General features: G+C 34.2%; 1 protein-coding gene across 1 annotated transcript in view, besides 2 other annotated features; it reads left to right on the top strand.

The window, feature by feature from the left end:
- The window catches only part of WASL (WASP like actin nucleation promoting factor), a 67,061-nt gene extending 39,647 nt beyond the window's left edge, over positions 1-27,414 (top strand). Inside the window, exons 2-11 of the mRNA NM_003941.4 lie at positions 134-268; positions 2,531-2,617; positions 2,984-3,080; positions 4,700-4,723; positions 12,610-12,778; positions 13,492-13,534; positions 14,489-14,642; positions 16,490-17,010; positions 20,207-20,315; positions 24,777-27,414. Of these exons, the coding sequence (NP_003932.3) occupies positions 134-268; positions 2,531-2,617; positions 2,984-3,080; positions 4,700-4,723; positions 12,610-12,778; positions 13,492-13,534; positions 14,489-14,642; positions 16,490-17,010; positions 20,207-20,315; positions 24,777-24,838 (1,401 nt within the window). The 3' untranslated portion in view covers positions 24,839-27,414. The remainder of the gene's footprint in view (positions 1-133; positions 269-2,530; positions 2,618-2,983; positions 3,081-4,699; positions 4,724-12,609; positions 12,779-13,491; positions 13,535-14,488; positions 14,643-16,489; positions 17,011-20,206; positions 20,316-24,776) is intronic.
- Positions 16,264-16,764: an enhancer, noted in NCBI's record as "H3K4me1 hESC enhancer chr7:123332647-123333147 (GRCh37/hg19 assembly coordinates)". NCBI's record gives its function as "activates a minimal SCP1, AML or CMV promoter by ChIP-STARR-seq in primed H9 embryonic stem cells {active_cell/tissue: H9 hESC(primed)}" and the evidence as "EXISTENCE:reporter gene assay evidence [ECO:0000049][PMID:30033119]".
- Positions 16,765-17,265: an enhancer, noted in NCBI's record as "H3K4me1 hESC enhancer chr7:123332146-123332646 (GRCh37/hg19 assembly coordinates)". NCBI's record gives its function as "activates a minimal SCP1, AML or CMV promoter by ChIP-STARR-seq in primed H9 embryonic stem cells {active_cell/tissue: H9 hESC(primed)}" and the evidence as "EXISTENCE:reporter gene assay evidence [ECO:0000049][PMID:30033119]".
- Positions 27,415-27,939: the final 525 nt, after the last annotated feature.

Raw genomic sequence — 27,939 nt, 5'->3', positions numbered from 1 at the left:
TTATTTCCTTGTTTCTGTGAATCAGGAATTTAGGAGCAGCTTAGCTGGGTGGTTGCGGTCAAGCTGTCAGCAGGGGCTATGATCATCTACATATTATTTTGAACCTAATGGTTATAAATTTTATATTTTGCAGACTATGTCTTCAGCAGTGGTGCAGTTATATGCAGCAGATCGGAACTGTATGTGGTCAAAGAAGTGCAGTGGTGTTGCTTGTCTTGTTAAGGACAATCCACAGAGATCTTATTTTTTAAGAATATTTGACATTAAGGTGAGTTTTGTTTTGCTTTCACTTTAAACTAGGTGATTAGGTTTTCTATATCAATTATAATTTAGTTTAGATTTGTTTATCCTATATGTGATATTTAAATTTATACATAAACTAATATTAGAAGAGTGAAGCTTGGTTTTTAGATATTGCATACGGAAATCATGACCAAATGGGAACATGTCTGAAGCCAGAATGTGAATAGTTTCCTATTTTATCTTTCTCCTGCTACCACGCATTAAGGCTTTTTTTTTTTTTAAATTATGCCTGTTGGTTCTTGGGCTTTCTTTACACTCTGTATTTTTTTAATGAAACTCTTTTATTCCACCTGGTTCATTATAGAATAGCGTAGATAGTCTGTTCAGGTAACAACAAAATAATATTTTAGCTCAGTATGTACTGTTATTTAGCCCAGGTTTAAAACATTTCAATATCTATAAAAATCTGTTTGCTACTCATTTTTCCTTATATTGTTTCTCATGATAGATATATTCAGATTTTCATAGCTTTATATCCCTCCCTTCCAATCATAAATCACATTGTTATAGATTGAATACCTTGTTAGGTATTCATTTCTTACAGTTGTCATAAAAATATTTTGCTAAGATGAAGTCTCCATTATTTTTTTAAAAAACCTTTCTGTAAGTAAGCCTCCATGATTAATATTTATATGTGGCAATAAGTGCAATGAGATTTTAATTACAAAAAACTAAAACTGCCTTTAAACTCTTGGGCGCTAATATGACCTGATAGATAACAGTGAAGAGATTTTTACACCTCTGGTCTCAGCTTTATTTGTAAAATCAGATAACCATCTTGGTTTGTTATGAGGTATTTCACTGAGATTAAATGAGATCTCAGTTATGGTATTTGGTAAATTAGTGCTTCTTTTGTTGTTGTTGTTGTTGTTTTGAGACAGGGTCTTGCTCTTGCTCTGTCACCCAGCCTGGAGTGCACAGCTTACTGCAACCTTGATCTCCTTGGCCCAAGCAATCTTCCCACCTCAGCCTTCTGAGTAGCTGTGACTACAGGTGCATGCCACCACACCTGGCTAATTTTTGTATTTTCTTATAGAGATGGGTTCTGCTGTTTTGCCCAGCCTGGATTCAAACTCCTGGACTCAAGTGATCCTCCTGCCTCAGGCTCCCAAAGTGCTGGGATTACAGGCCTGAGCCACCAGTCCCGGGCTAAATTAGTGCATCTTAATGTCTGCTTCCAAGACAGCTGAGAGATATGACATGCTTCTGTCACTAGCAGTGGCTTACTAGTAATCACTAGCAGTGGCTAACTATGGCAGTGATTCTGGGGGGTGGGGAACACATACGTAGTTTGAAAGAAACCCCCAAGTGCTTTGACATATTTCTCATAACCATTGAGAAGCACTATTTAGAAATGGCATACACTTACTACTCCACTAAGAAGAAAGGGATTCCATTGCAGTGGTTATAATGTGTGAACAGTGTATTTTACATATTTTTAAATTGTGGTCTAGGTAGAACCTTGCATTTCTGAATAGGGCAATGACTATCTTTCTCTAACCACTTATTTCCAATTGCTGGACACTCATAATTCGTCACCTTTGGTATTAAGATTAAACATATTTTTTATACTATGGCAATAGATATGGCAGCCATCATGGCACTCTTATCCATAGTTTAACCTTGATACATTTTAATTATCAGTCTCTTTCTGCATCATGATTAATACTACTTATACTAGTATATAATTAGAAAGGTACTCTGCAAAAGTTAAGAATTTGAAGATGGTTAATTAGCAGTACAAGGAAGGTATATTTGACCCTCCCACATCTATAAAATTGAGGAAAAGAACATAAAGTATTCCTGCAGTGTTTGATAGTACATTGTCTAAATATTGCTGGTGGAACTGTGCTTTGGTAATCAGTTCATGTACAAAAGTATCCTATTCCTTCTATGTAACATTGATGACCTAGTAATTATTCTGGTTATTATGTATTTGACCAAGTAGCTGAATTTGGAAATGGTTGGCTAGTGAGATTATATCTTAGCTGAATTAAACTGACTTGATATGTAGGTTTTATGAAAGATACGTTATCCAGTGTTTTCAGTTTTAAGAAATTACTGATTAGATTATGTGACACTATTTATATATTATAAATATGTTACATGTGTGCATTAAAAGTTATTTTTAATATAAACAGTTTTCTTAATATGAGTCATCTTCTTTGTTTTATTCCTAGAGATTATGTTTTGGTAGTTCTTATTTTAATTTTTAACTTTTTTCTAGGATGGGAAACTATTGTGGGAACAAGAGCTATACAATAACTTTGTATATAATAGTCCTAGAGGATATTTTCATACCTTTGCTGGAGATGTAAGTCATATTTTTCTTTATTGCCATCTTTACTTTTTTCATTGCTTGCCTTTTCTAATCCAAATTATTTATAGAACCTTATTGAAAGATCAAATTCAATTTGCTATTTTATTTTTTTGCTGAAGATGAAATATTCAAATTAGTATATGTGTCTGCTGTGATAGGTAACTTCTCTAATAGTAATCTTTTACTTGAACTTCTTCATGCTTTTGTGTTAAGTTATTCAGATCATAAAATAATGTCTTATCTGCTAGTAAAATTAACCTTTCGTTCTTTAGAAATATACTTCTTTTCCTCATTGTTTTTATGATATAAAGCTAAATTCATACATTCTGTTGTTTCCCCTTTGTGATGAAAATATTTCAGACTTGTCAAGTTGCTCTTAATTTTGCCAATGAAGAAGAAGCAAAAAAATTTCGAAAAGCAGTTACAGACCTTTTGGGCCGTCGACAAAGGAAATCTGGTAACCCTTTTTTAATTACTTAAATCAGGCCAGCAAACTAATGCTCATGGGGCAAGTGTGGTCCATTTCCTGTTTTTTGTAAATAAAAGTTTACTGAAACTTAACTGTATTCATTGGTTTACATGTTGTCTTTGGCTATTTTTTGTCACAACACAGTTAAATAGTGATGACAGTGATATATGGTCCTCAAAGCCAAAATTATTATCTGAAATATTTACTATTTACAAAAAAATTTGGTGGTCCTTACCTTAAAATAAATAATATTTTTGTTGAGAACTATTTTTTTTAGATTTACCGAAGGGCCCAATACAATAACCTTTTTTGTTGATAAAATTTCATATATATTGACTTTTAATTTTGCATTTGTGATAGCATTTTTTGTAAAGTTTTAAAAGTATTTTATACTTTGTAAACAAAGACTTTAGGTAAGCTTAGAAGCAAATAAGCAGAGTTGCTAACAAGATCTGTAAACATTGCCTTGTCTTTCTATTTTGTTCCTAATGCTATATACTATAAAACCCATAAGGAACTTAGTTTAGTGTGTGAAACAACTCTAACACATATAAAACAATTATAGAACAATGCAGGATAGTATAAAGCTTTAAGTTAATTGGAGTAGAACTATTACTTGACAACAGTGAACCAGGTGTTTCTCTTGTAAAGTGGAGAAGGGTGACTAGGAAAGGGGAACCTCTCCAAAATCATCTTAAGCAGATGAGTTTCAGAAGAAAGAACATGTGCTTTCATCCAGTCCTATAGTTCCAAAAACTGTATGCCAATGACTCTCAAAGTTTTTTCTTCAGTACTGACACATCTTCCCTGACCTTCAGACTCTGTCTACTCAAGTGGCAGAATAGCCTTTAGACTTAACACGGTCTGAGCAGAATATTTGATCCATGTCCTGTATCCTGAACCTTAGCCCCACTCAGATCTGTTCCTATTCTTCTACTAATCTTCCTTGTTTCAGTAAAAGGCATTTGTTCCATCTTATCCCTCAGGCTCACCATGGTCCCTCATAAATCCTATCAGAGTCCTATTGACTCTGCCTTCAAAAACATGTCCTGTCTGACTATTTCTTACCATTTCTGCTGCTACCATCCTAATCCAGGCCACCATGATCTGTCAGCTGGGCTGCCACACTAGCTCTCTGACTGGTCTTCCTGCTGCTACTCAATCCTTTTTACTATCTCTTTTCTATACAGTAGCCAGAGTAAACTTTTAGAATTGTAGATTAGGTTATATCACTTTCTCTATTTAAAATTCTGTAAGAGCTTCCTATCATATACACATAAAATCTATAGTCCTTAACCATGGCCTGTGGAACCCTACATGATCTAGTCCCTGACTTTCCTTCTTGTCTCCTTTCACTGTGCCATTTGCTCACTGTAGTCCAGTCTTCATGATGTTCTTTCATGTTGCACCCTCCTTGGGGCCTTTGAATGTATTGTTCCCTTACTTATTTTATTTAGATCTCTACTTAAATGTCGGGTCTTCTGAAAAATCTTCCTTAGTCACACGTATGTCAATTTAGGAATAAGACAGTTTAGTGAATTAATTTTTTTATGTTGATGTTGTCTTACATATATTTAATAATATTCTTCTAATTTATTTTCTAACAGAGAAAAGACGAGATCCCCCAAATGGTAAGCTTTTTGACAATTATTAATCTTTTAAGATTTTAGATGACAGTTTAATCCTTGTGGAAACATGTACCATACATTAGTAATATTTAGTATCTTTTACATGTTAATCCTTGTGGAAACATGTACCATACATTAGTAAGTAATGTTTAGTATCTATGATCAAATTATACAGTTTATTGTGTTCCTATTTTTAATTAATGATTGACAGATGAGACTTAGGAAACAATATTCTTTGATATTTTTCTAACATGAAGAAAGAATACATAGGGTGAAGATCACTAATACTTATTATATTTTAATTCTGGATTCACAGTTGACTAAGTATACAATCGGACCTTAACATTTTTCCTAGAGGCAGTACATTTTGTCTAGAATATTTGTTAATGTCCTACTTTAAGATTTACCTTTCATTCTTATTTCAAAATATTATTTCACATTGCTTATGTGTTATATGAAGCCCCTTTCAAAATGAACACCTACTGTTGTGGTGTATTTAGAACTAATTTAGCTCTGTATAATGCTCTTTAATTTGATAATGACCACTTGAAGTATTATGAATTCATTTTTTAAAAAACATTGAATACCAGAGAGTAAAAGCAGAATACCAGGATGTAAAAGATAAGGTCTCAGGGGTAGAAATTCTTACTCTAGACTTCATAAACTCCCTGAAATTGTGTGCTAAATATGTTCTTTTCTCTGGAGAGAGAGGATCCATGGCTTTCATCGTATTTAAATGAGGTTCCTGACTCTATGAAGGTAAAGAATCATTCTCCAGCACACTTTGTTATGATAGAGAAAATGGCTGCTTTTTAAAAGCATATCTCAAATCCTCTTATCAGAACCTAGAATGATTATTCAAGGAAAACTTACATAATACAGAGTTCTTAATATATGACAGCTATTGGTGATTGTTGGGGTTTCTTTTAAACAGATACGTTGCCTTTTGATTTTGTCCTTAAATTTCTTTTTCTGATACAGAAACATGAACCAAATGTTGCTGTATTAAATTCTGGGTTGTTTACCTTATTATTAATTTTTTAAATGCCTGACTACCTTCAGTAGTGCTTAACAGGTACCAAATATTGTATAGTTTCACTTTTTCTTTTGAATAGAAATATTAATACTTTTTAGGGCTGTTACGGGGATTGAAGTAATCAAAGCTTAGCATAGTGCTTAATAAATATTAGTTATTCTGATGAAGATGATGACAACAATAATAGCAACTACTAGTTAATGATCTTTTACTACCTGCCAGGCACTGTACAGCAACCTTCTGAAGTAGCTCCTATTATCTCTTTTATAGATAAGGAAACCGAAGCACAGATAGGTAACTTGCTCAAGGTCTCATAACTAGTAAGTAGTGAAGCAAGATTCAGCATCAGATGATTTGACCCTAGAGACTGGCCCTTTAACCACTATGTTATGTCAAGATGATTTTGAAGGCAAAACTGAGACACAGGGTAAATATCATGTCTCAGGATATATAAATTAGTACATGGCAGAGGCAAAAGAAACAGAAGCAGCTGAGTTACAGGTTGCTCATCTGTGAACTTTTAATGTAGTAGTAGAAATTTTCCTTGATATAAGCCTAGTATTTCAACCTTTTTGAATTTGTTACATTATTTTGAGTTTGGAGAGTATATACAGTATTGAGTACCAACAGAGAAGACTTTCTAGTGGTGCCATCGAAACACTTTGGGGAAAGTAACCCCATATTTTAAAGTGTAGATGCTGTAGAAATAATATAATTAAAATTAAGGTTGTAAATACATGTATCCATGTTGGATCAGTTCCAGGATCCCCCCATGGATACAAAACTTCGTTGATACTCAAGTCTGCGATACAAACAACATAGTATTTGCATGTAACTACAGATTCTCCTATATGCTTTAAATCCTCTGTAGAGTACTCATAATACCTAATACGATGTAAATGCTAGGTACATTTGGTCTTAGCCAAAAGGCTGAGAAGTAATGCTGGGTAAATAGTTGTTATACTGTATTGTCTAGGGAATAATAGCAAGAATGTTCTGTACATGTTCAGAACAGATGGACCCATCCATTTTTATTTTTAATCCACAGTTGGTCGAATCCATGGATGTGGAATGCATGGATATGGAACTGTGAATATGGAGGGCTGAACATTTATAAAATGAATTTCTGAAGAGGCATCTAGTTTCCATGAATAGATAGAATTTGAAAATTCTTTATATAACAGTGGTGTTTCATAATTTTATTACCCCTACTAAGAGACCCACTTAGAATTAAATGTAGTTTCAGGCCGGGCGCGGTGGCTCTCGCCTGTAATCCCAGCACTTTGGGAGGCTGAGGTGGGCGGATCACCTGAGGTCAGGAGTTCAAGACCAGCCTGGCCAACATAACGAAACCCCGTCTCTATTAAAAGTACAAAAATTAGCTGGGCATGGTGGCGCATGTCTGTAATCCCAGCTACTCGGGAGGCTGAGGCAGGAGAATTGCTTGAACCCAGAAGGCGGAGGTTGCAAGTGAGCCGAGATCACACCATTGCACTCCAGCCTGGGCAAAAAGAGCAAGACTCCGTCTCAAAAAAAAAAGAATTAAATGTAGTTTCTTTCTATGAGTTGGCCATTGGTTTTAAATCTTTAGTTTTAATCATTTGGCCCAGTGGTTTCAGACTTCTTTCATTAAATAAATGGAGGGTTTTTTTTTTAATAGTGTTGTTAAAGGACAAAATTATACAGCATGTATTGCCAATACTTGTATACTTATAAAATATACATATAATATGGAATTAATATATTAATACACAAAGAATGAAATAAATAATTATTAATACAAGTTGTAATATTTTAAAACTGCTTTGCATTCAACTATCTTGCTTTCCCCACTAAGTGGAGACCACTGTTTAGGAGGCAGCATTATTACTTTACTGTATTTGGTGCACCACCACTAGGTGGCAGTGGGCCCCTGGACCATGTCCTCCAGTAGCTATGCAGGTGCTTTGTCTCAGATCCTTATTTAGATTATCAGTTTACCACACCTTTTCAAATTTTAATTATTAAAAAGATACTTTATGTAGAATTTACATACATTCCTAAAATGCAGTTCAGTAACTTCCTCACTCCTAATTTCTTTATTGGTCAGTCTCACATTTTAGCATATATGCTTTCCAATGATTTGTTCTCAGCTTCGTGACTGCTTGACATCAGAGGCCTCTAGGCCACCTGTTTTTCAACTGTTTTCCTTGGTGAGGCTTCTTTGCTTCTTATGTAATTAATGGGAAACTTGAGTTCTTTTAGATTTAAAATTAACTAGACATGTCTGTTCACAAGAACATTTAAAAACCTTTTCATGCAACAGTTATCCTTAATCAGAAGGAGTTAATTTGTCATTTGTTTTTTAAAAAAGAAGGAAAACAGCCCGCCTTCATTATATGTTTACATAGTAGTTCTTAGGAGGAGTGTAATTTCATAAATGGAATAATTAAACTTTACTAGAAATGACTTCAGTACGTACATCTGTTACTAAATCTTTCATATACTTTATGTTGTTTAAAAAATGGCTCTATACCTTAAACAGGTTATCACTTTTTTTAGTGTGTCGCTTGAAACAGATACTTAATTTGGCTCTAGAATACCATTTTAAACTTATTTCCTAACATCTTCAAACTCTAAAGTAAATAACCATTGTCAACAGAAATAACCGAGTACCTAACCTCTTGAATGTATAGAAATCCATTTTTTTCTAAATTCTGTAAGTTGTTAGTAAATATTTGTTGAATAATGACTTGTTGGACCACAGACCAAGAAAACTGAAAAATTGGCAAACAAAGAATGTATTATGACATTTGTAAAATTAGCGGTGTTATCCACCTTGTAGTTTGACTTTTGTGTAAGAGGTATAAGAGGTAGAATAGTTGGCCGGGCACGGTGGCTCACGCCTGTAATCCCAACACTTTGGGAGGCCGAGGCAGGTGGATCACGAGGTCAGGAAATCAAGACCATCCTGGCTAATACGATGAAACCCCATCTCTACTAAAATATGAAAAATTAGCCAGGCTTAGTGGCACACACCTGTAGTCCCAGCCACCTGGGAGGCTGAGGCAGGAGAATCACTTGAACCCGGAGGTGAAGGTTGCAGTGAGCCGAGATGGCGCCATTGCACTCCAGCCTGGGCGAGAGAGTGAGACTCCATCTCAAAAAAAAAAAAGAGGTAAAGTAGTTAATTGGAAGGGTAGTGGACTAGGAACCAAGATATCAGAATACACTTTTGCTTCTGTCACTAATCATATGACTTTATAAAGATCACCTGACTCTTACTGTCCTTCATTTTCATTAATAAAATGAAAGGCAATTTTGAAAAGAAACTCTAATTTCCCATCTAATACTAATTTTCTATATATCTCCATTATATGGATTTTTCTTTATAGTCTTACTTAAATAATGTTGTTTTTTTTTTTTTTTTTTTTTTTTTTTTTTTTGAGACGGAGTTTCGCTCTGTTGCCCAGGCTGGAGTGCAGTGGCGCTATTTCGACTCACTGCAAGCTCCTCCTCCCGGGTTCACGCCATTCTCCTGCCTCAGCCTCCCGTGTAGCTGGGACTACAGGCGCGCGCCACCATGCCCGGATAATTTTTTGTATTGTTAGTAGAGACGGGGTTTCACCGTGTTAGCCAGGATGGTCTCGACCTCCTGACCTCGTGATCCGCCCGTCTCGGCCTCCCAAAGTGCTGGGATTACAGGCGTGAGCCACCGCGCCCGGCCTTAAATAATGTTTTAACTAGTACTAATGAAATTCATCTATAATGACTTAAAGAGATAATGTTGATGCATAATAATATATTCATGCCTGATTTTTGGGTAGAGAAAGAGGGGAAACAGTCTGATTACAGTATGAGTTAAACATTGTTACTCATTTCACATATCACTTACATTTTGTTCCTATCCTCATTCTTGAATCTTCCTCAGAGACAGCTGAATTACTTTCTCTAGTGAGTTATATAAATCAAGGTTATAAGAAGCTGATTTTTCAAAAATATACTAGCTTGGATAATTTAAATCATTAAACTTAACTTTATCCAACTGTGTTTCCATGCTAGTCATCTATAGTATAATAGATGGCTTTTATATAAGCTAAAGTGGCAGAAAATATTTTTGTTGTTTTCTGTTTTTATATTTTACTGGTGAGTCTGATTGTTTATAGTTGCTATTTGAATACTTAGTTCCGGAAAAGTCATATGAATAAAGAGAGTGCCTAATTCTTTTTCTTTTTTTCCTTTTTTGAGACAGGGTCTTGCTCTGTCGCCCGGGCTGGAGTCAGTGGCGCAATCTCAGCCCACTGCAACCTCTGCCTCCCAGGTTCAAGTGATTCTCCTGCCTCAGCCTCCTGAGTAGCAGGGATTATAGGCACACACCACCACGCCCGGCTAATTTTTGTATTAGAGGCGCGGTTTCACCATATTGGCCAGGCTGGTCTCGAACTCCTGACCTCATGATCTGCCCGCCTTGGCCTTCCAAAGTGCTGGGATTACAGGCGTGAGCCACTGTGCCTGGCCAGGGAGTACCTAATTCTGATACTCCTAATTCTGTCTTAATTCTTACATTTTATTAAGATATAAAGATAAGAAACAAAGTAATTTGTAGCATCCTTATTGTGGATAGTGTTGCTGATACTGACTGGTAAAGATAAGAAGTGAGAGGGCAGAAAGGGAAGAATGAGAAGTAAAAGTAGACCACCAGATAAGTCTGTGAAGGTCTGAGTGTAACCCCAATTCAACCCTCTAGTCCCTACATTCTGGATATTCTCAGTAAGTCCTTTATTTTGTACAACTACATAAATGTCGAAATCTGATACCTGAGCAAATTTGAAAATTCACATCCTAATCACCCTTTCAGGTCATTCGATACTGCTTAACTCACCTTTACTTACTGATCTAGTTATTTTTCATATTATTCCTGGGCACTAAAAAAGCTTTTAATGATTTTATCCATATTATTCACTAGCTCTCATTTTTCCCAAAAACTATTTCTTATCCATATCAACAACTTCCTATGGAATTTTTGAATGAAATTGTAACTAAAACTTTAGGATTATTAAAATATTATATATAAATAGGATTTGAATATTAAGGGAAAAGAGTTGAATTTTGGTGATATTAAAAATATGCCTTTCCAAATTATTTACTTTTTTGATAAGGTGACATGGCTTTCATAAATTTGTTTTAGTTTTGTTTTATCTTTAATAGTAGAGTTGGGAGAAAATAGGGTATATACAATTTACCCATGTAAATAAACTTTTTTTTTTTTTCAGATAATTTTAGTAAGTAGGATACTTTGGCAGTTTGGGGCATAATTAAAGAATAACAGTCAAGTTGGATTTTAAGGATCAACTAATATACATTAGCCTTGAGATTTCTATTTGCCATTTATTGATTATGTTGGGGATCCCCAAGACCATCCTCAGAGGTGGTGATTCACCAGGACTTACAGGACTTAATATATAGCTGTACTCATGGCAAACATTTATTACAGTGAAAACACATATAAAACAAAATCAGCAAAGGGAAAGACACATGGGATGAAGTTCATAAAAAAAAAAAACCACACACAAGTTTCCAAGAGTTCTCCCAGTGGAGAACACAGAGGTTGCACCTAATTCCTCCAATAATGAATTGTGACAACTTGTGAAATGTTGTCTAAAGGAAAAGCTTGAGACTTGGTGCCCAGGGTTTTCGTTGAGGGCTAGTTACATAGGTCTACCCTGCCTTGCACTTACCAAGATTTCAGACTCCCAGAAGGAAAGTAGATGTTCAACATAAACTGCATTGTTAGCACAAACAGTTTAGACACAATAAGCCCACCTTGTCAGGGAATAGTGGGAACCCTCTTGAAATCCAACTTCCCAAGTGGTCAACTGAGGGCCAACCTTGCAAGTGGTCCTTTCTAAGAAGAGCAGTCTAAAGTGTGCTGCCTTAAACTCTTTTCTACACAACGATGATAGTATTTCATATGTTTTGGAAGTGGTCGTTAATGTAGTCACCTCAGAGGAACTTGGTCTCAAAGGAGGATTTGTCAGAGAACCATATATAAAAATAGGATCTCTGAGGAACATGTGTTGCCCTTTAGTTGAATTTTTAAGAAATTTTTCAGTTGAATGCTCCACATTCAGACTTTCATACTTTTAAGATCAAGAATTTTATTTTGAATTGTAAGACAAGTTTTCTGCTACATTTAGTACCACTTCTGAAGATACTATTAATAATATGGAAAGATGCCTTTGACATTTTTACTGTTGATTCTTGCACAAGATGAGTGCTTTAAGAATTTTTGTGTTTTAAATTTTTAAATTCTATACTTCTGATAGTCAAGGTGTATGCGTACTGGTGGGGAAAATATCATTTGACTTAAGGATGCCAGTTCTGGAAAAAATGGTAGTAATAATTTTAAGTACCCTTTTTCTTCTTGACTAATAAAGTTGAAACAAAGAGTTAAGGCTATATTTCTTTGTTAAATTTAAAACAAAAATAGATACTTTACTTTCTTTATCCTTGTTACAAGATATGTTTCACTTTACTGTTGAGCAATGTGTTGGATATGAGGCTATTATAATCAAAATTTAAGAGATTAGACTAATTATATTTAAATTCTAGCTGGAAGTTCATATTCTTTATGAAATTTAATGGCATAAAAATGTAAGTTTGCTTTGAAATAGTGCATCTACACTCATTTCAAGAACTTAACAGGTTTTAGAAATTTAGGCAGCACTTTATGAAAAAAATGTAGAAGTTTAAAATATAAATAATTTATAATGAAGTGATCCTATTTCAGAAAAAGTATTTAAATTGTAAATTATGATTGTATATCAGTTATCTTAAATTATATCCCTTTTATATAATTTGGTTTTATTTGCAGGTCCTAATCTACCCATGGCTACAGTTGATATAAAAAATCCAGAAATCACAACAAATAGATTTTATGGTCCACAAGTCAACAACATCTCCCATACCAAAGAAAAGAAGAAGGGAAAAGCTAAAAAGAAGAGATTAACCAAGGCAGATATAGGAACACCAAGCAATTTCCAGTAAGACAGTTCTTTTGTTGTTCTTATCTTCACTTTTGATTTATTCATTGCTGTTCTTGATTTTTAACTTGTTAGAAAATTTTCTTCTCTTTTCGGGAGGGTGTGTACATTCATCACTTGGATACCGTTTTAACTATGTACTTTATTGGAGTTTTTTTTTTTTTTTAAGGCAGCTGCTCAATAGATGTTCTTGGAATCTTATGGTTTATTTACTTTTTCAACTATGAGAAAAGAAAAATTAGATAAAGTTGTTTCTTCAACTAATTATTGAACATAAAAATGATTTCTCACTTTGCTCTAAAAATAGCATTTAGAAATTGTTTACAGATACTGCCTAGGGGCAGTAAAAACCTTTGGTATTTAACATATTTCAAGCATTTTCATATGCATTATTTTATTAGCTCATTATGAAACCCTTATCCCGTCATATATATAATGCTTGGACTCTTATGCTAATTTGACAATTAAGGAAATAGATGCTCAGAGAGATTGTACAAAAATTTTAAGTTTCAGTTAGTAGCAGAGTCAGGGCTAGAATCCTGTTCTTCTGACTCCTTGTACATAGTTTTTATCACAATATGGTTATGTCTGTGAGAACTGTTAGTTCAGACCAAAAATTCAAAGCCAAATGTAGATTGGGTTTCATATATATTGTGTTTATAATGCCCTTTATGCATTTTGTTTTTCTATTTTTTTTCTATTTTCTACTTCAGGCACATTGGACATGTTGGTTGGGATCCAAATACAGGCTTTGATGTAAGTATGTTTTCAAATCATATACGTTATAACTGTATGTGGAAATGTGTTGGCCTATTTTAGATTTTTTTAAATTCATTTTTGTGGTTTCTAGTATCTGTTTGAATGTGCTTGTGTTTTATGTATGTATACAACTGAGGTTTAAAACCATATTATTGTTCTGTCATTCATGGCTAAGTCTCTAAAGACTTAGACTAAGGTTTTGTGTACCTTGGCTTTATACACTGTATAAATAAAATCCTTGTGCTTTGAAAGCCAAGAGAAGAAAATCATTTCTGCCAAGTGATAATTTCAGGGGAGTGTATACCAAATTACTAGAAAGTAGTATAATCAAATTCTGAATATTCAGTTGTTGAATTCTCCAGATCTTTTCATTCTCCTGTTCTTTTTGGCAGTTTTGCCGTTGTTTTATAGCACTGTGAAACTGCTGGCAAAAATTAATCAGCGTTTGGATGCATTATTTTAAAGAGATATTATTTGTGATTGGAGTAAAAAATATTTTTAGTTATTTTTGTTATAGCTACAATGTTAACTCAACAAACATACTGAGCACCTCTTGTGCTGGGCATTGTGCAAGGTGCTTGGGATTACAGGAAGATCCTTGCTCTCAGATTTTCAAATTAATTTACTTTTTTTGTGTTTATTCCTGATTTTTACATACTTACTTAGGACAAGGTAGAATAAATGAGCATTGGAGATGTCTGAATCATGAATAGGCTAATAGAAATCTAAATGAGATGCCCTCTTTTTGAAGGCAGGGAACAAAAAAGAAGAATAAAATAGGGAATATATCTGTTCAGTTTTTTTTAATAAAATATTTTAGTTAGCACATAAGTAATATAAGCATGTTAAAAGTTTAGGCAAAATAATTTCAGAAGGACACAGATGAGACTTAAAATTATGTTTTTTAAATTGGGATATATTTTTATAGTTAGCAGTTACTTTCTTTTGTAGCTGAATAATTTGGATCCAGAATTGAAGAATCTTTTCGATATGTGTGGAATCTCAGAGGCACAACTTAAAGACAGAGAAACATCAAAAGTTATATATGACTTTATTGAAAAAACAGGAGGTGTTGAAGCTGTTAAAAATGAACTGCGGAGGCAAGGTAACTTTTATCTCTATTCAGCGTTCTGTTTTGTTTTAATCTTTTGAGGTCAGTTTCATGGAAACCAGTTAACATTCATACATGTGAACCCTTCCTTGAGCAGAATGTTGAAGTCTATGGACAACTAATGTGGCCCATCACACTGTGTCTTAACATTATTTCATTATAACTAAAAAAACTTTACAAGGTTTTGTTTATTCTTTATTCATAAAAATCCATACAAAATCTTCCCAGCTATTCTATTTTAAAGTAAAAACTTATAGTTGCCTAAATGTTATACTTAAGGAATCCTATAAACCACCAGATTTTATTGTAATTCAGAAGTAATAATTTAAATATAATCACTTTCTAATTAGTAATATACGCATTTCCAGAATATAAATAATGTAAACTTTCTATTTTGAAATACAAATCCTTTTTCTTGGATAAAGTATGAAATTTTCTTTTGTACCTGAGAGCACAATTTATAACCTTTTAAGATTTGATATTTATTTTAAAGGACCTCGTATTTCAGTTTTGTCTTAATAATTATTGCAGTAAAATGCAGATAAAATACTCTAAATTTTCCAATTAACAGTCATCTCTTTGCTACCTTATTAGGACTGCTTTCTTTTCTTCTTCCTAGCTTTTGCATACTCATAATAGTGTAGTTAAGCAAAAGCTCCGGTTAAAACATTCTTCTGAAGAACTTAACTGTCATTTTAAATTAGGCATTCAGTTTACTTATGTCTTTTTCATTGCCAGTGTTCATTTAAACTTTGATTGATAGATTGACTTATATAGTTCATAAACATTATTATGCCAGTACTAGTCTCAGGATATTTAGATGTAAAGGATTCTCATGCCTCAGCCACCCAAGTAGCTGAGATTACAGGCATGCACCACTACACCCTGCTAATTTTTATATTTTTAATAGAAACGGGGTTTTTCCATGTTAGCCAGGTTGGTCTCAAACTCTTGGCCTCAAGTGATCCTCCCGCTTTGGCCTCCCAAAGTGCTGGGATTACAGGCATGAGCCACCATGCTCAGCCAAGTTTATTTTTCTGTTATATCTTACATTTTCACTGATGTGGAATAAGAATGCTAATATCATGACTACTGGAATAATAGTAATTTTTGTTAATAACTTTAATTTTGCAGTGTATGGAAATTCTCAGTTAATTTGTTAATAACCAGTTCATGTCTCTGGAATAAGTAATTGAGCATTTCAACAAAGCAACCAGCCTCCTATAATGCCATTACTAGAATTGCAGACAATTTTTAGAGATACAGACATTATGCTATAAAAGTACAAATGTAAATTAAATGACAAAGGCTTACATTTTGAAAGGAAAGCATTATATTTGGGCTTTAGCGCAGATTAATGTGAATGAATTCTATTAAGCTATGCTACACTATAATTCTGAATGTGAATTGATTTTACTTAAAAAAATAAGTGTACTTGATTCTTTTTTAAAGAGGGAAGGTATTTATTTTTATTAAAATGTAAACTAATGCTAATTAACAAAATGTTTAATTTCATTGGTATATTTTGTTATTATTTTGTAAAGTAGAAAATGTTTATTCCCCTTACTTTCAGAACTGGTACTAATTCCAAAAAAATAAACTATTCTGTTTTAGCTCATATTTTTTTAAGAACCAATAAGAAAGTGATCTTTAGGCTGACAATTCTCAAAAAAAATTGTGAGATATCATCTGTGCTCAGGTATCTTTGTAAAATAAAATGCAAAGATGAGACCCTTTTTTGGTATTATTCAATTTTTATACATGTTAAAATGAATTACTTTTCAATATGATGTTTATGAGAAGAAAAAAGCATGCCTTCTTTTTTTCTGTTTGCATTTCAGCACCACCACCTCCACCACCATCAAGGGGAGGGCCACCTCCTCCTCCTCCCCCTCCACACAACTCAGGTCCTCCTCCTCCTCCTGCTAGGGGAAGAGGCGCTCCTCCCCCACCACCTTCAAGAGCTCCCACAGCTGCACCTCCACCACCGCCTCCTTCCAGGCCAAGTGTAGCAGTCCCTCCACCACCGCCAAATAGGATGTACCCTCCTCCACCTCCAGCCCTTCCCTCCTCAGCACCTTCAGGGCCTCCACCACCACCTCCATCTGTGTTGGGGGTAGGGCCAGTGGCACCACCCCCACCGCCTCCACCTCCACCTCCTCCTGGGCCACCGCCCCCGCCTGGCCTGCCTTCTGATGGGGACCATCAGGTTCCAACTACTGCAGGAAACAAAGCAGCTCTTTTAGATCAAATTAGAGAGGGTGCTCAGCTAAAAAAAGTGGAGCAGAACAGTCGGCCAGTGTCCTGCTCTGGACGAGATGCACTGTTAGACCAGATACGACAGGGTATCCAACTAAAATCTGTAAGTAAGCTTTTTTTTTTTTCATTTTAGATCCTTTATCATAATGGAATTTTAAAGTAATTTATTGAAAGATATTTTTGAAAAGTGTATTCTTTTTTCCTCTTGCTAATTCATTCTTAACCCTATAAATTTAAAAATACTTTTACATGCAGTGACATGCACAAATTTTTAATTCAGCTTTGATACATCTCTATAGCCATGTAACCCATATCTCTATATCCAAATGTAGGGTATTTCTGTCACCCCAGAAGGTTTTCTCATACCTCTTCCCAGTTAATTTTTCCATAAACAATCACTGATCTAATCACCATAGATTAGTTTTACCTATTCTAGAACTTCATGTGAATGGAATTTTACAGGATGTTTGCAATTCATTGTTCTAGACTTTACTTTCAAATAAAAGGTACTTTAAAGAAAAATCCTTATTAAGCTGTGAGAATTAAAAATAGCCCTACTTGAAACCAATTGTGATCACCTTAGGAAATCTAAACCAGTAGCTTTATGAAAATTAAATCATGTTCCAAAGTTTTCATGTTCTAAAATTTAGATTAGTAGAGAATCAGACCAAAAAAATTGAAAGAGTTGTAATAGAATTTCTGACAGTGATGGCAAATAAATTTAGGATTATCTGATTTGGATGAGGTAATCATTTAATCTTACAGGTCATTTAATCTTCTAGAGTTCAGCAAACATTTTCCTATAAAGGATCAGGTAGTAAAACCTTGGGCTTATATAGGCAGTATGGCCTCTTGTGACCACTCAGCTCTGCTGTTTTACCGCAGAAGCACCACAGACAATACATAAATGAATGGACATGCTTGTGTTCTATAAAACTATATTTGGACACTGAAATTTGAATTTTATATAACTTTCACATATCAAAAATACTCTTATTTTCTTTCAGCCATTTAAAAATGTAAAAATCAAGCTTAATTTTTAGATAGTTTTAAAAAAAAATCCAAGAACAGGCTGGATTTGGCCCATGGGCTCAAGTTTGCTGACTCCTATCCTAGAACCTAACCTGTCTACATTTACATACTTCTTTTGGAGCCTTTTATAACATGTTCTCCAGGACTTCAGGGAGGTCATGGATGATAGAGTTTTTCTGTGAAGTAAATGGAGACGACAGAGGATGTTTTAATTGAAAATTATTTCCCAGTATAGGAATTAAAGTAACTTTCTAGATCTCAGAAACTTTGTCTAAAAGGAGGGTAATAGATAGGAAGCACAACTAATTGAATGAAAACATGTAAACATTAGCATAGATCTAAGAAGACTCTGATCTTTAAAATATATCTAGCTCTTTTCTTTACATGTATTCAGGATGACACTTAAACCTATGAACAGTCATCTCTGTTCTCTTTCCCCCTTTAGATCAGACTAAAGGCCTGTCAAGAGCAGTTGAAGAACTTTAAAGAGTGGTTAGTGGGGAGAATTAATGTCAAAATGACCACAGCCCAGCTTTTACCTTGGAATCTCTGCTAGTTCCTGTGTCATTCTCATTCCCGTAACTCTCACTCCTAACCCACCTTTTTGTTTTCCTTTTCTATTTCCTTTTCACAAACCAACTTTGTTTCTTTCTCTCATTTAGCTATAATAAGGTGATTTAAAATTTTTAACGAATAAAGTTGTATCCTCATTTATTTTAAAAAGTTTAAGAGTTAAATTTCTATTTACTTTCTCCATAACTTTCTCCCATCCCAACTCTCCCTTTCTTTCCAAAAAAAAAAAAAGAAGCAGCAAAACCTGTTAATTGATGTGTAAGAATGGGGGCCATTTTTATCCTAAATAATCACTTTCCTTTTGATTGCATTTATTGCAATCATAGGGTGCATAATCAGTGAACTATTGGCATGTTATACATGTAATCCGAGTTCGTTATTTTTTGAAAAAGACCATTTTGTGGTTGAAATTTCTATGGCTATGTTTCTTTAAATTTTTTGAGTAAATCATCAATTTATTCTGTGATGAATATGATTAACATAAAACCATAGACTTACTTTAAAGAGCTAGTAGGAGGTATTGAATACTCACATATATTTTTGAATTCCATGGTTTTAGTACCTCAAATAGTACTTTGTTCAAGTAAGCACTTCAAAAAATGTGTTTGATGAGAGTATGCTCACTTCTGCTTTGTGCTCTCTGCTTTACATTATCACATTGCTTAAAGGTAGTCTAAATGTCCCTACCGCTGTTGTACCTCCTTGAGAGCCTTGTGCAGAAATACAAAGCTCTGAAACTCTCTGTTATCTTTTTTCATTTGTGGTACTTCTATACTGGAAATAGTTAATACATAATGTTTAAAGCCAAAATACTAAGGAATGAATCTATATCTTAGGGGGAACCACTTTGAATTTTTTTAAAAAAGGTGTTTACTCCAGAAAGAACAAGGAGTATTAGAGGAAGAATTGTACAGATCAAAATGGAAAGTTTGTCTAAATAAAATTGTCTTTGGGAAATGATTAAGAATTTCAAAAATATATATTATATATGTATGTATTAAAACATAGGTAATTATTTAATACAGCTATGCTGTTTCATCTTTAATTATAATTTTTTTTTTCATGAATGCACTTTGGCACAGCTGGAAGTACTTCAGTTAGGGATTGTTACTTGCCTAGTGAGGCAGGTACATTTTGAAAGTTGATCAACTCATCTCCTTAAAAAGAAATTATATACTATGAGAAAAGAGGTTCATTTTGAAGGTATAAATGTAACATAAAGGTGTAAAGCTGAATTTTTGTAGGCAAATATAAGTTTCTACAGTTGTTTTTCAATATCTTCAGTGTGCGTCCCACGTAACAACTCTGGAGTCTAAGTATTAACCTCTGTTTATAACATGAAATCCCTTGATAAAAGCTTTAAAGTTGATCATCTAAGTCTGTGTGTGCTGGAATAAACAGAAGTAACCCAGCAAGTATTATTCAGGAGAGGGTTTGTTATCTGAATGTAAACATAGATTTGGAAATGTATTTTTGGCTTATACATTAAGATGGAAAGGAAATATTTTTGAATAATATCTTTAAGGCAGCAGTTTATTTCTTGTTAATTTGATTAATCTTGTCCTGCGCTTGCCAGTTTGATATCTTTTTTGTCTTTTACAATAAGAAGTGATTCTAAGAAAGTAGGACTTTCTGGAGACAAAGATTCTTGGCTAAAGATTTATTACTGAGTTTTGCTAACTTTCTTTTCCAAGGTGGCTGATGGCCAAGAGTCTACACCACCAACACCTGCACCCACTTCAGGAATTGTGGGTGCATTAATGGAAGTGATGCAGAAAAGGAGCAAAGCCATTCATTCTTCAGGTAGAGAGAGAGAGAGAGAGAGAGAGAGAGAGAGACAGAGAGAGTGTGCGTGTGTGTTTAATAAATTTGAATGTTTGACGTTCTGTTATTTTTATGACTGTCTTTGCTAGCTTTCTCTCTGCTAATTGAGTAACTACTGATGTGGGCTCTAGGATGTATTTTAAAAAGTTGTTGCCTGTGTGACTAGTCTCTCTGAGACTTAACAAATGCAACACCACCACAGCCATAGCCATAAATTGAAAGAACAGCTTTGGGAATATTGACAGTTTTGTTTCCTATATCAGGAAATGCTAATAGACTTCCTAGCAAACAACCTCTAAACAAAGCTTGAGATTTTTAGATCTCATTCCTGTGACATTACTGTGACATGAAAAATTCAGGGCTGGGTGCGGTGACTCACACCTGTAATCCCAGCACTTTGGGAGGCCGAGGCGGGTGGATCACCTGAGGTCGGGAGTTCGAGACCAGCCTGGCCTACATGGAGAAACTCCATCTCTACTAAAAATACAAAAAAGTTAGCCGGCGTGGTGGCGCATGCCTGTAATTCCAGCTACTCGGGAGGCTGAGGCAGGAGAATTGCTTGAACCCAGGAGGCAGAGGTTGTGGTGAGCCAAGATCGCACCATTGCACTCCGACATGGGCAACAAGAGCAAAACTTCGTCTCAAAAATAAAATGAATAAATAATAATAATAATAAATCGGGCCATTTACCTCATCTGTAAGGATTAGGGATAAGAATTTCAGTAATTTTTACTGTTTCTAGAGTTTGCTAAAGAATACTAACTTTTTTTAAACCTTTCTTTTTCATTTTCTAAAAGGTTGATTTGAAGAAACCAGTACCTATTCTGAGGTTATTATTAAACATATACATACCACCATATAAATATTCCTTTAAAGAAAGAACAAGAATATGAGTTTTGCTGATTGGAGTAGTTGAGGTTTGCTAAATAGCTTCTCCAACATGATGTGCTAGAATCAGATCTTTCTTCTTAGATTTATTTAATCTCTGTGAGCCTCAGTTTCTTGTTTGTTACATTCAGAGAACTCACAAAACATATAGATGTGAGAATTAAATAGTATGTCACTAACCTGCAGATTGCCTAGCACATAGTAGGTGCTTAATAAATGTTACCTTCCTTTTGTTTCTCTGTAAGGATGTCCATGTCTTAAGATCCTTGAGCAATGTTTGTTTTCCTTAAATAGGCATATTTGTACCTACCCTCCATTACAGAGATAGAGATAAATATTTATTGTGGAATAATAATAAAATTTTAACAAAAAAAAAGTCCCTGCCTTCATCGACATGCATTAGGTCTAATGAGAGAGAGAGACAAGCAATAAACAAAGAAAACTAGAAAAACATACAGTATGTTAAATGGTGACATGAAGTAAGGACAAAAGTCTAACAGAAAAGGGAAATAGGGGGCAGACTGTTGAGAGAGAGGTTCATTTTGAAATGATAAAGGATGATAAGGGACAATAAAGCCTAACTGAGGTGACATTTGAGAAAAGACCAGCAGTTCAGGAAGTGAACCATGTAGAAAACTAGGGAAAGTGTATCCGATGGAAAGAACAGAAAATATAAAGTCTGTGAGGTTGAGAAACAATGAGGAGATCACGGAGCTTGCAAGGGAGGGAGGGAAAGAATAGTAAGGAATGAAATACAAGAAGTAGTAGGAGGCCAGTGGTAAGGCTTTGGAGACCCCTGAAAGTGCACTAGCTTTTATTCTGCATATGATGGGAAGCCATTGGAGGGTTTTTAGCAGAGGTGTAGTAATGATCCAAGCAAGAGGTGATGGAGGCTTGAACCAGGTTTATAGCACCAATGAGAAGTGGTTAAATATTAATTATATTTTGAATGTGGAGATCACTGGTTTTGATGATGGTTTGAAAGTGAAGGTTGAAGAAAAAGAAGAGTGCAAAATGACTCCAAGGTTTTTGACTTGAACAACTGGAAAGGGGAAAGACTTACGAAGAAAAAGTTTGAGAGGGAAGATTAGGAGTTTGATTTTACATATTAAATTTGAGATACCTATTAATTCAACTATAGATGTGGAGTAGGCATTTCGTTATGAGTCTGGAAGTCACAGGAGAGGTCTGAATTGTTAAATTGCATGTCAGTAGGATATACATAGACACCTGGTATTTAAAGTTATGGTTATGTTTATGGTATAGTCTTCTTTAGCATAAAAACAGTGAAAATTACCTAAATTCTTAGCCCTAATCCTCACAGATGAGGTAAACTGCCTGAATTTTTTATGTCATAGTAATGTCATAGGAATGAGATCTAAAAATCTCAAGCTTTGTTTAGAGGTTGTTTGCTAGGAAGAGATAAAGAAAGGTCTTCATTCATTCATAAAGAAATGTAAGGCTTCTGTGAACTACATGATTCTGAAAAAGCATTTATTCTATGCTGGTATCTGTGAGTTCTGCTAAATATTTCCCTACAATAAGTTTTTTTTTAATAGTATGTAATAGTCACGCTAATATAATGAAAATATAGGATGGTTTTTACTTATTTTCAGACCCATTTATTTTAACTGTTAGTATTTCTGTGGTAGTACCTGATGATGAAATTATTAGCTACTTCTTCCTCTTCACCATAGATACTGATAAGTTTCTGTCTTTTGTCAGTCTGTAATGCCAGCATAGTCAGGTGTCTTTGATGCTTTTCATCCAGGTAAATTTTGTGAAGCATGTCTAGCAAAATCTGGTAGCAAATTATTTCCCTTGCTAGAAGAGTAAACAGAAATTAACATGACTCAATTGAACTCCTTTCCAAATAAATTCTGTAACAATTTAGAGCTGACCATGAGACTTAAATAAATAAATAAATAAATAATAAATAATTATCGTTTTAAAAGTAACAACTTAGTTTAGGGCTAAGAGAAGATAATGTTGCTTCTCTTGGGCTTCTGTTAATTTTCAAGTTCTAATACTAGAGCTCCAGTACTTCTTCAAATACTACCTTCACACAATCAATTTTACATGAGAAAAATAGAAGAAAAAGATTGTTCTGTGTTCTGTACATGTAACCCACACGTATGTCACCTAGTCTTACTGGCTTTTTATCATTATCAAGTACAATTACTCAGCCACTGTCCCACTTTATATACTTGGCCTTCATGGGTCCTATATATATATTTATATACATATTTATATATATTTATATATTTATATATAGGTATATGTATTTATATATTTATAGGTGTATATATTTATACATATTTTATATATAGATATATGAAGAGGTTAAATATGGAAAGTCAGTATAATATAGAAGTATGCTTATAAAATCTGATAACTAAATATTCCTTCAACAAATATTTATTGAATGGCTGGTGTGTAGTGCTGTTTTGGTGTTGAGGATACAGTGAGAAATAAGATAGGCAAGGTCCGTGCTGTCATGGAGCTTAATAGATAAAGTACAATAATTTTAGATATTAGCAAGTGATATGAGGAAAGTAAAATGGGATAGGCCGTTACTGATTATGGGGAAGAGCTATACTTTACATATGATGGTCAGGAAAGGCCTCTCTGAGGAAGTAGTTTATGAATGGTTTCTAAATGATGAAAAGATTCAGTTTAACGAAGAAATAGCTACTGCAGAAGTTCTAAAGCCAGAATAAGATTGGTGAGTTTAAGGGACAGAAAGGAGACCATCTTACTAGAGAGAGTGACTTGAAGGGAGAGTACATATGAGAGAAGTTTGGGGAGAGAGAGAGACAATAACTGGACAAATCATGTAGGGTCTTATGGAGGGAGGTAGCATCAGATTTCATTCAAATAGCAGTGGTAGCCACAGGAGGACTTTAAGAAGGGTAGCAACATATTTTTTAAACTTGAAATTTAAATAATATCACTCCATTTGCTCTGAGTCAAATAGACTCTAGAGTTGCAATAATCCAAGCAGGATGTGATGGTGGTGTGGAGAGTAGCAGTGAAAGAGGTGAAAAAGAGCAGGCTTGATAATTGGATCGTGAAAAAGGAGGAAGTAATAATAATTTCTAGGTTTTTGGCCTGATTATGTGACAGGATGGTGATGCCATTTATTGAGATGGAGCAGCAGACCAGGATGGAGCAGGAAAAGAAGATTGGGGAAGGAAATAAAAGTTAGAAGTTTTGAGTTTGAGAATCCATATGAAGAGTACAAGAAGGTAGTTGGATTTGTGACAGAAAGGTCAACCCAGATGATTTTATACATTAACAGGTTGAAATTTGTCACATAGATATTAAGGAACTAGAACCATTGTCTTCTAAGCCCTGTTTTAATCTTTAGTTTACTATCATACTCTATAGATATATTTCTTTAGATTCACTTTAAACTGTTTTAGTAACTAGATTCTTCTGGGAGTCACATTATCTGTGTTTCAGGAGTTAAATAATTGGAGAAACCACCCAAGAATTATGTAATGTCATTTTATTTATGCATATGTTTTAATTGTCTTGATTTTCTTGTAGATGAAGATGAAGATGAAGATGATGAAGAAGATTTTGAGGATGATGATGAGTGGGAAGACTGATCTATATATTATATATATATATATATTTTTAAGGTGAAATACTAAACACTACTTTCTGTCTGTGGATTCTGTAAAATTATCATGTAAATGTTCTACCAATTTGCTGTATATTTTTGTTGCCTTTTTTGCTTTTTTTTAATCTGTGCAATACCTCATTTAATCTGTAAAGGTTTGTCGTAATCCTCTACAAAGCTACTCCCTGTTATTGTGTGCAAGTTTACACCAGGATGCTCACTTGATTTGTGAATATTTTTCATTCCATCAACAAGGGAGTTTAAATACTATATGTGAGACTGACAAAAACCTTAATGTAATTTACTTATAATGCCAGAAGGAAAACACTATTTTCATACCCTACTTTTTCTGTACCTAAATTTTCTTAAAAAAAAATCTAGTATAGCACTACATTCTTTTTTAAGTGATGCAGACCTTAGTTTCTTTAGCCCCTTTATTTTGAATACAATGCTACATATGAATGTTGAAGCTGATACATTGCACAGTTCTGTAGACATCACTACACCGATGTAGTTTCTCAAATTTTAGCAATATGCTCTACATAAAATCACTACAGAGATACTAGTGGGGAAGACGATTAACACACCTCTTACAGTAATACTGCCTGTTATTGGTATAGCAGTGGTATTTGCAGACTGGGATCATAAGGAGCCCTTAAATACTTGTTATTGACTGGGGTTATTTTTATGCTGTAGCAAATGTGACAGGCTCTTTTTAGCAAAATTTTTGAAAATTTTTTTGGTATTACTCTGAAACAAAATTTAAGTTGGAGTTTCAGGGATTTAGGGAGTAGTTTTCATTCTACATGAACTGAGGTAATATTATGGTAACTCCAATATTTGGTTAAAAAAACTATACAAATCAGAATAGTACTAAAATACTGTAGAATTTTAGCATTTTTATTTTGCACTTTGTGTGGATTGAGGTGTTCAGAAATACCAACCATAAAAATGTAATCTAGTTGGCAAAGGTGTGCGCTAAAACACGGAACCGAACATGCATTGATTTGGATAACTTTTGAGGGTTTTTGTCAAATAGCATGTGAAGAGTTACATTTTTCTTAAAAGATTGGTGGTCCCAATGTCAGAGTTCTTGGAACAGATAACTGAATGATAGATTTTTTTTTTTTAAAGATAAAACTTTACAACCTGCACATTTGTTATGCATACTAAATGGTGTGTTAAAATTAGGGTTTCTTTGCCTCTCTACACTACACTAATCTGCCTAAAGGTGGTTGTTTCATATTTATAATGCTAATTATCATACCTACCTACTTTAAATTTTAGGTAGAAAATTATCTGATTTAAATACAAACATATTTTTCTCACATTGAGTAATATGCATAATGTAGTTCCAAATGTATTTCATTACTATAGTCACAATATCCAACTAAAAATTACGCTATCTAGAATTGTACCAACCAAAATCTCGTATTGGCAGATCTTGACAGGCTGGACCTGCAAGATGTGGCTTGAATTTTAACCATTTATTACATAATCTCTAGTGATCATGCATCTAGTTATCATAAGAAATAATTTAAAAGGTTTTGTTGCTGAAAGCAGTAAGTGGTGCAGTAAAATACTTAAGTTATTCAAAGAATGTTATCTTTCTTGCAAGAGTAATTTAAGCACATGGGAAAGATTCTAGACTTTTTGTTTCTTGCAACAACAGTGCCCTCTGCTGCTAGAAACCTTTTTCTACTTACTATCATTTTTATTGTGGCTTGAGCTCAGTCAATCTGGTGCAGATGAGGCTGGACAACTACTAACCAATAAAATCAGGAGTTTGTACAAAAGTTAAATGGAACATTATAATTATTTTAAGTAATGTTAATTGAAAAAATTTTTTCTTTTTGACAATATAAAAAACATTTTAAATTTCCTAGAAATGTCTTCAGGGTAATGCCAATTTAAGATCTCTCTTAACTTGTGGCCAAGAAATTCTAGATTTTCCAGCTGACTTTGGTATAATATATATTTATCAGGAACTTCTCTCAGCAGAGAGTACCCATTCTTCGAGTTCAAAGCACAATTTTAAACATGTAAAATGGATATATAATTTGCCAAAGGTAATTAATTTATTCTTTTTTTCTTAAAGAAGAAAAAGACATTGGTTGTTGTTACAAAAAGTCTAAATTACTGTTGGTTGAAACACAGCAGCTGTGGAGTTCAGTCCAGGCATGAAGACTAAATCTGCTTTACCAAGTAAGGTGTAAGGTTGCATGTTTCAGTCCTCTACCATCCTGCACTGTGAGCAGCACTATACCTGTGCGTTGTCTGAAAGCCTTCCGTATATTCTCCAGCTAAATGGTCGTCTGGTAGCCTTTGCATTTAACAAACTAGCATGAGGCTTTTTATATCTAAATGCTACGTGATAGACAATTTCAGCTAGCCACATATTGTATGTATGAGATTCATAAAGACTTTCAATCATTTCATTTTCAGACAACTGAAATTTTGTTTAGTATGTGAATTCTTTTTTTGAAATGTATAGTGAATAGGATGTTGCACTGGTGGCAATTCATCATGGAGCATAATAAAATTAATTTGACCCAAATAGAATAAAATAATGTGTTTCATGTGTTTATTGTTAAGAGAGTAAAATAGGTTTAAAATTTTTAAACTGTATAGTGAAGGGTACAGAGCGATCAATGATAATGGTTGATGTTTTCAGCAGACTGCATGCCCTGAGAGTTAGAGTGTGCCATTAAATAAACATGGTGAGCAGAAGAATGTTGCACCCTGTTCTGTTGGGAAACATGACAGCTGCTCAGCAGCTCCCCTAGAAGCCACTGCTGTCGTTCACAGAGCATTGACATTGCAAGGTCAAACTGTTTGGAACTCTTCCACATACCAGAAATGTTGAAGTTTTCTAAATCAGAATGATATTGGAGTTTATTGGTAGTTTCAATAAATGCCAAATATAGCAGTTTGTATGGGACATAAGTAGCTTTTAATAAATGATATCAAAGAGGGTGCTCATTTTAAACGGTAAACTCTGTTTTTGATAGATAGAATTTTCTGTTTCACTGACCCTGGCACAAGTGGGTGTCTGAAGATTAAACTGAGTTGCGGAATTCAGAGTGT

The sequence above is a fragment of the Homo sapiens genome, chromosome 7, assembly GCF_000001405.40.
Source record: "Homo sapiens chromosome 7, GRCh38.p14 Primary Assembly".
Taxonomy (NCBI): domain Eukaryota; kingdom Metazoa; phylum Chordata; class Mammalia; order Primates; family Hominidae; genus Homo; species Homo sapiens.
Note: the sequence above shows the minus strand (reverse complement) of the source record. Positions and strands in the feature narration are given on the sequence as shown.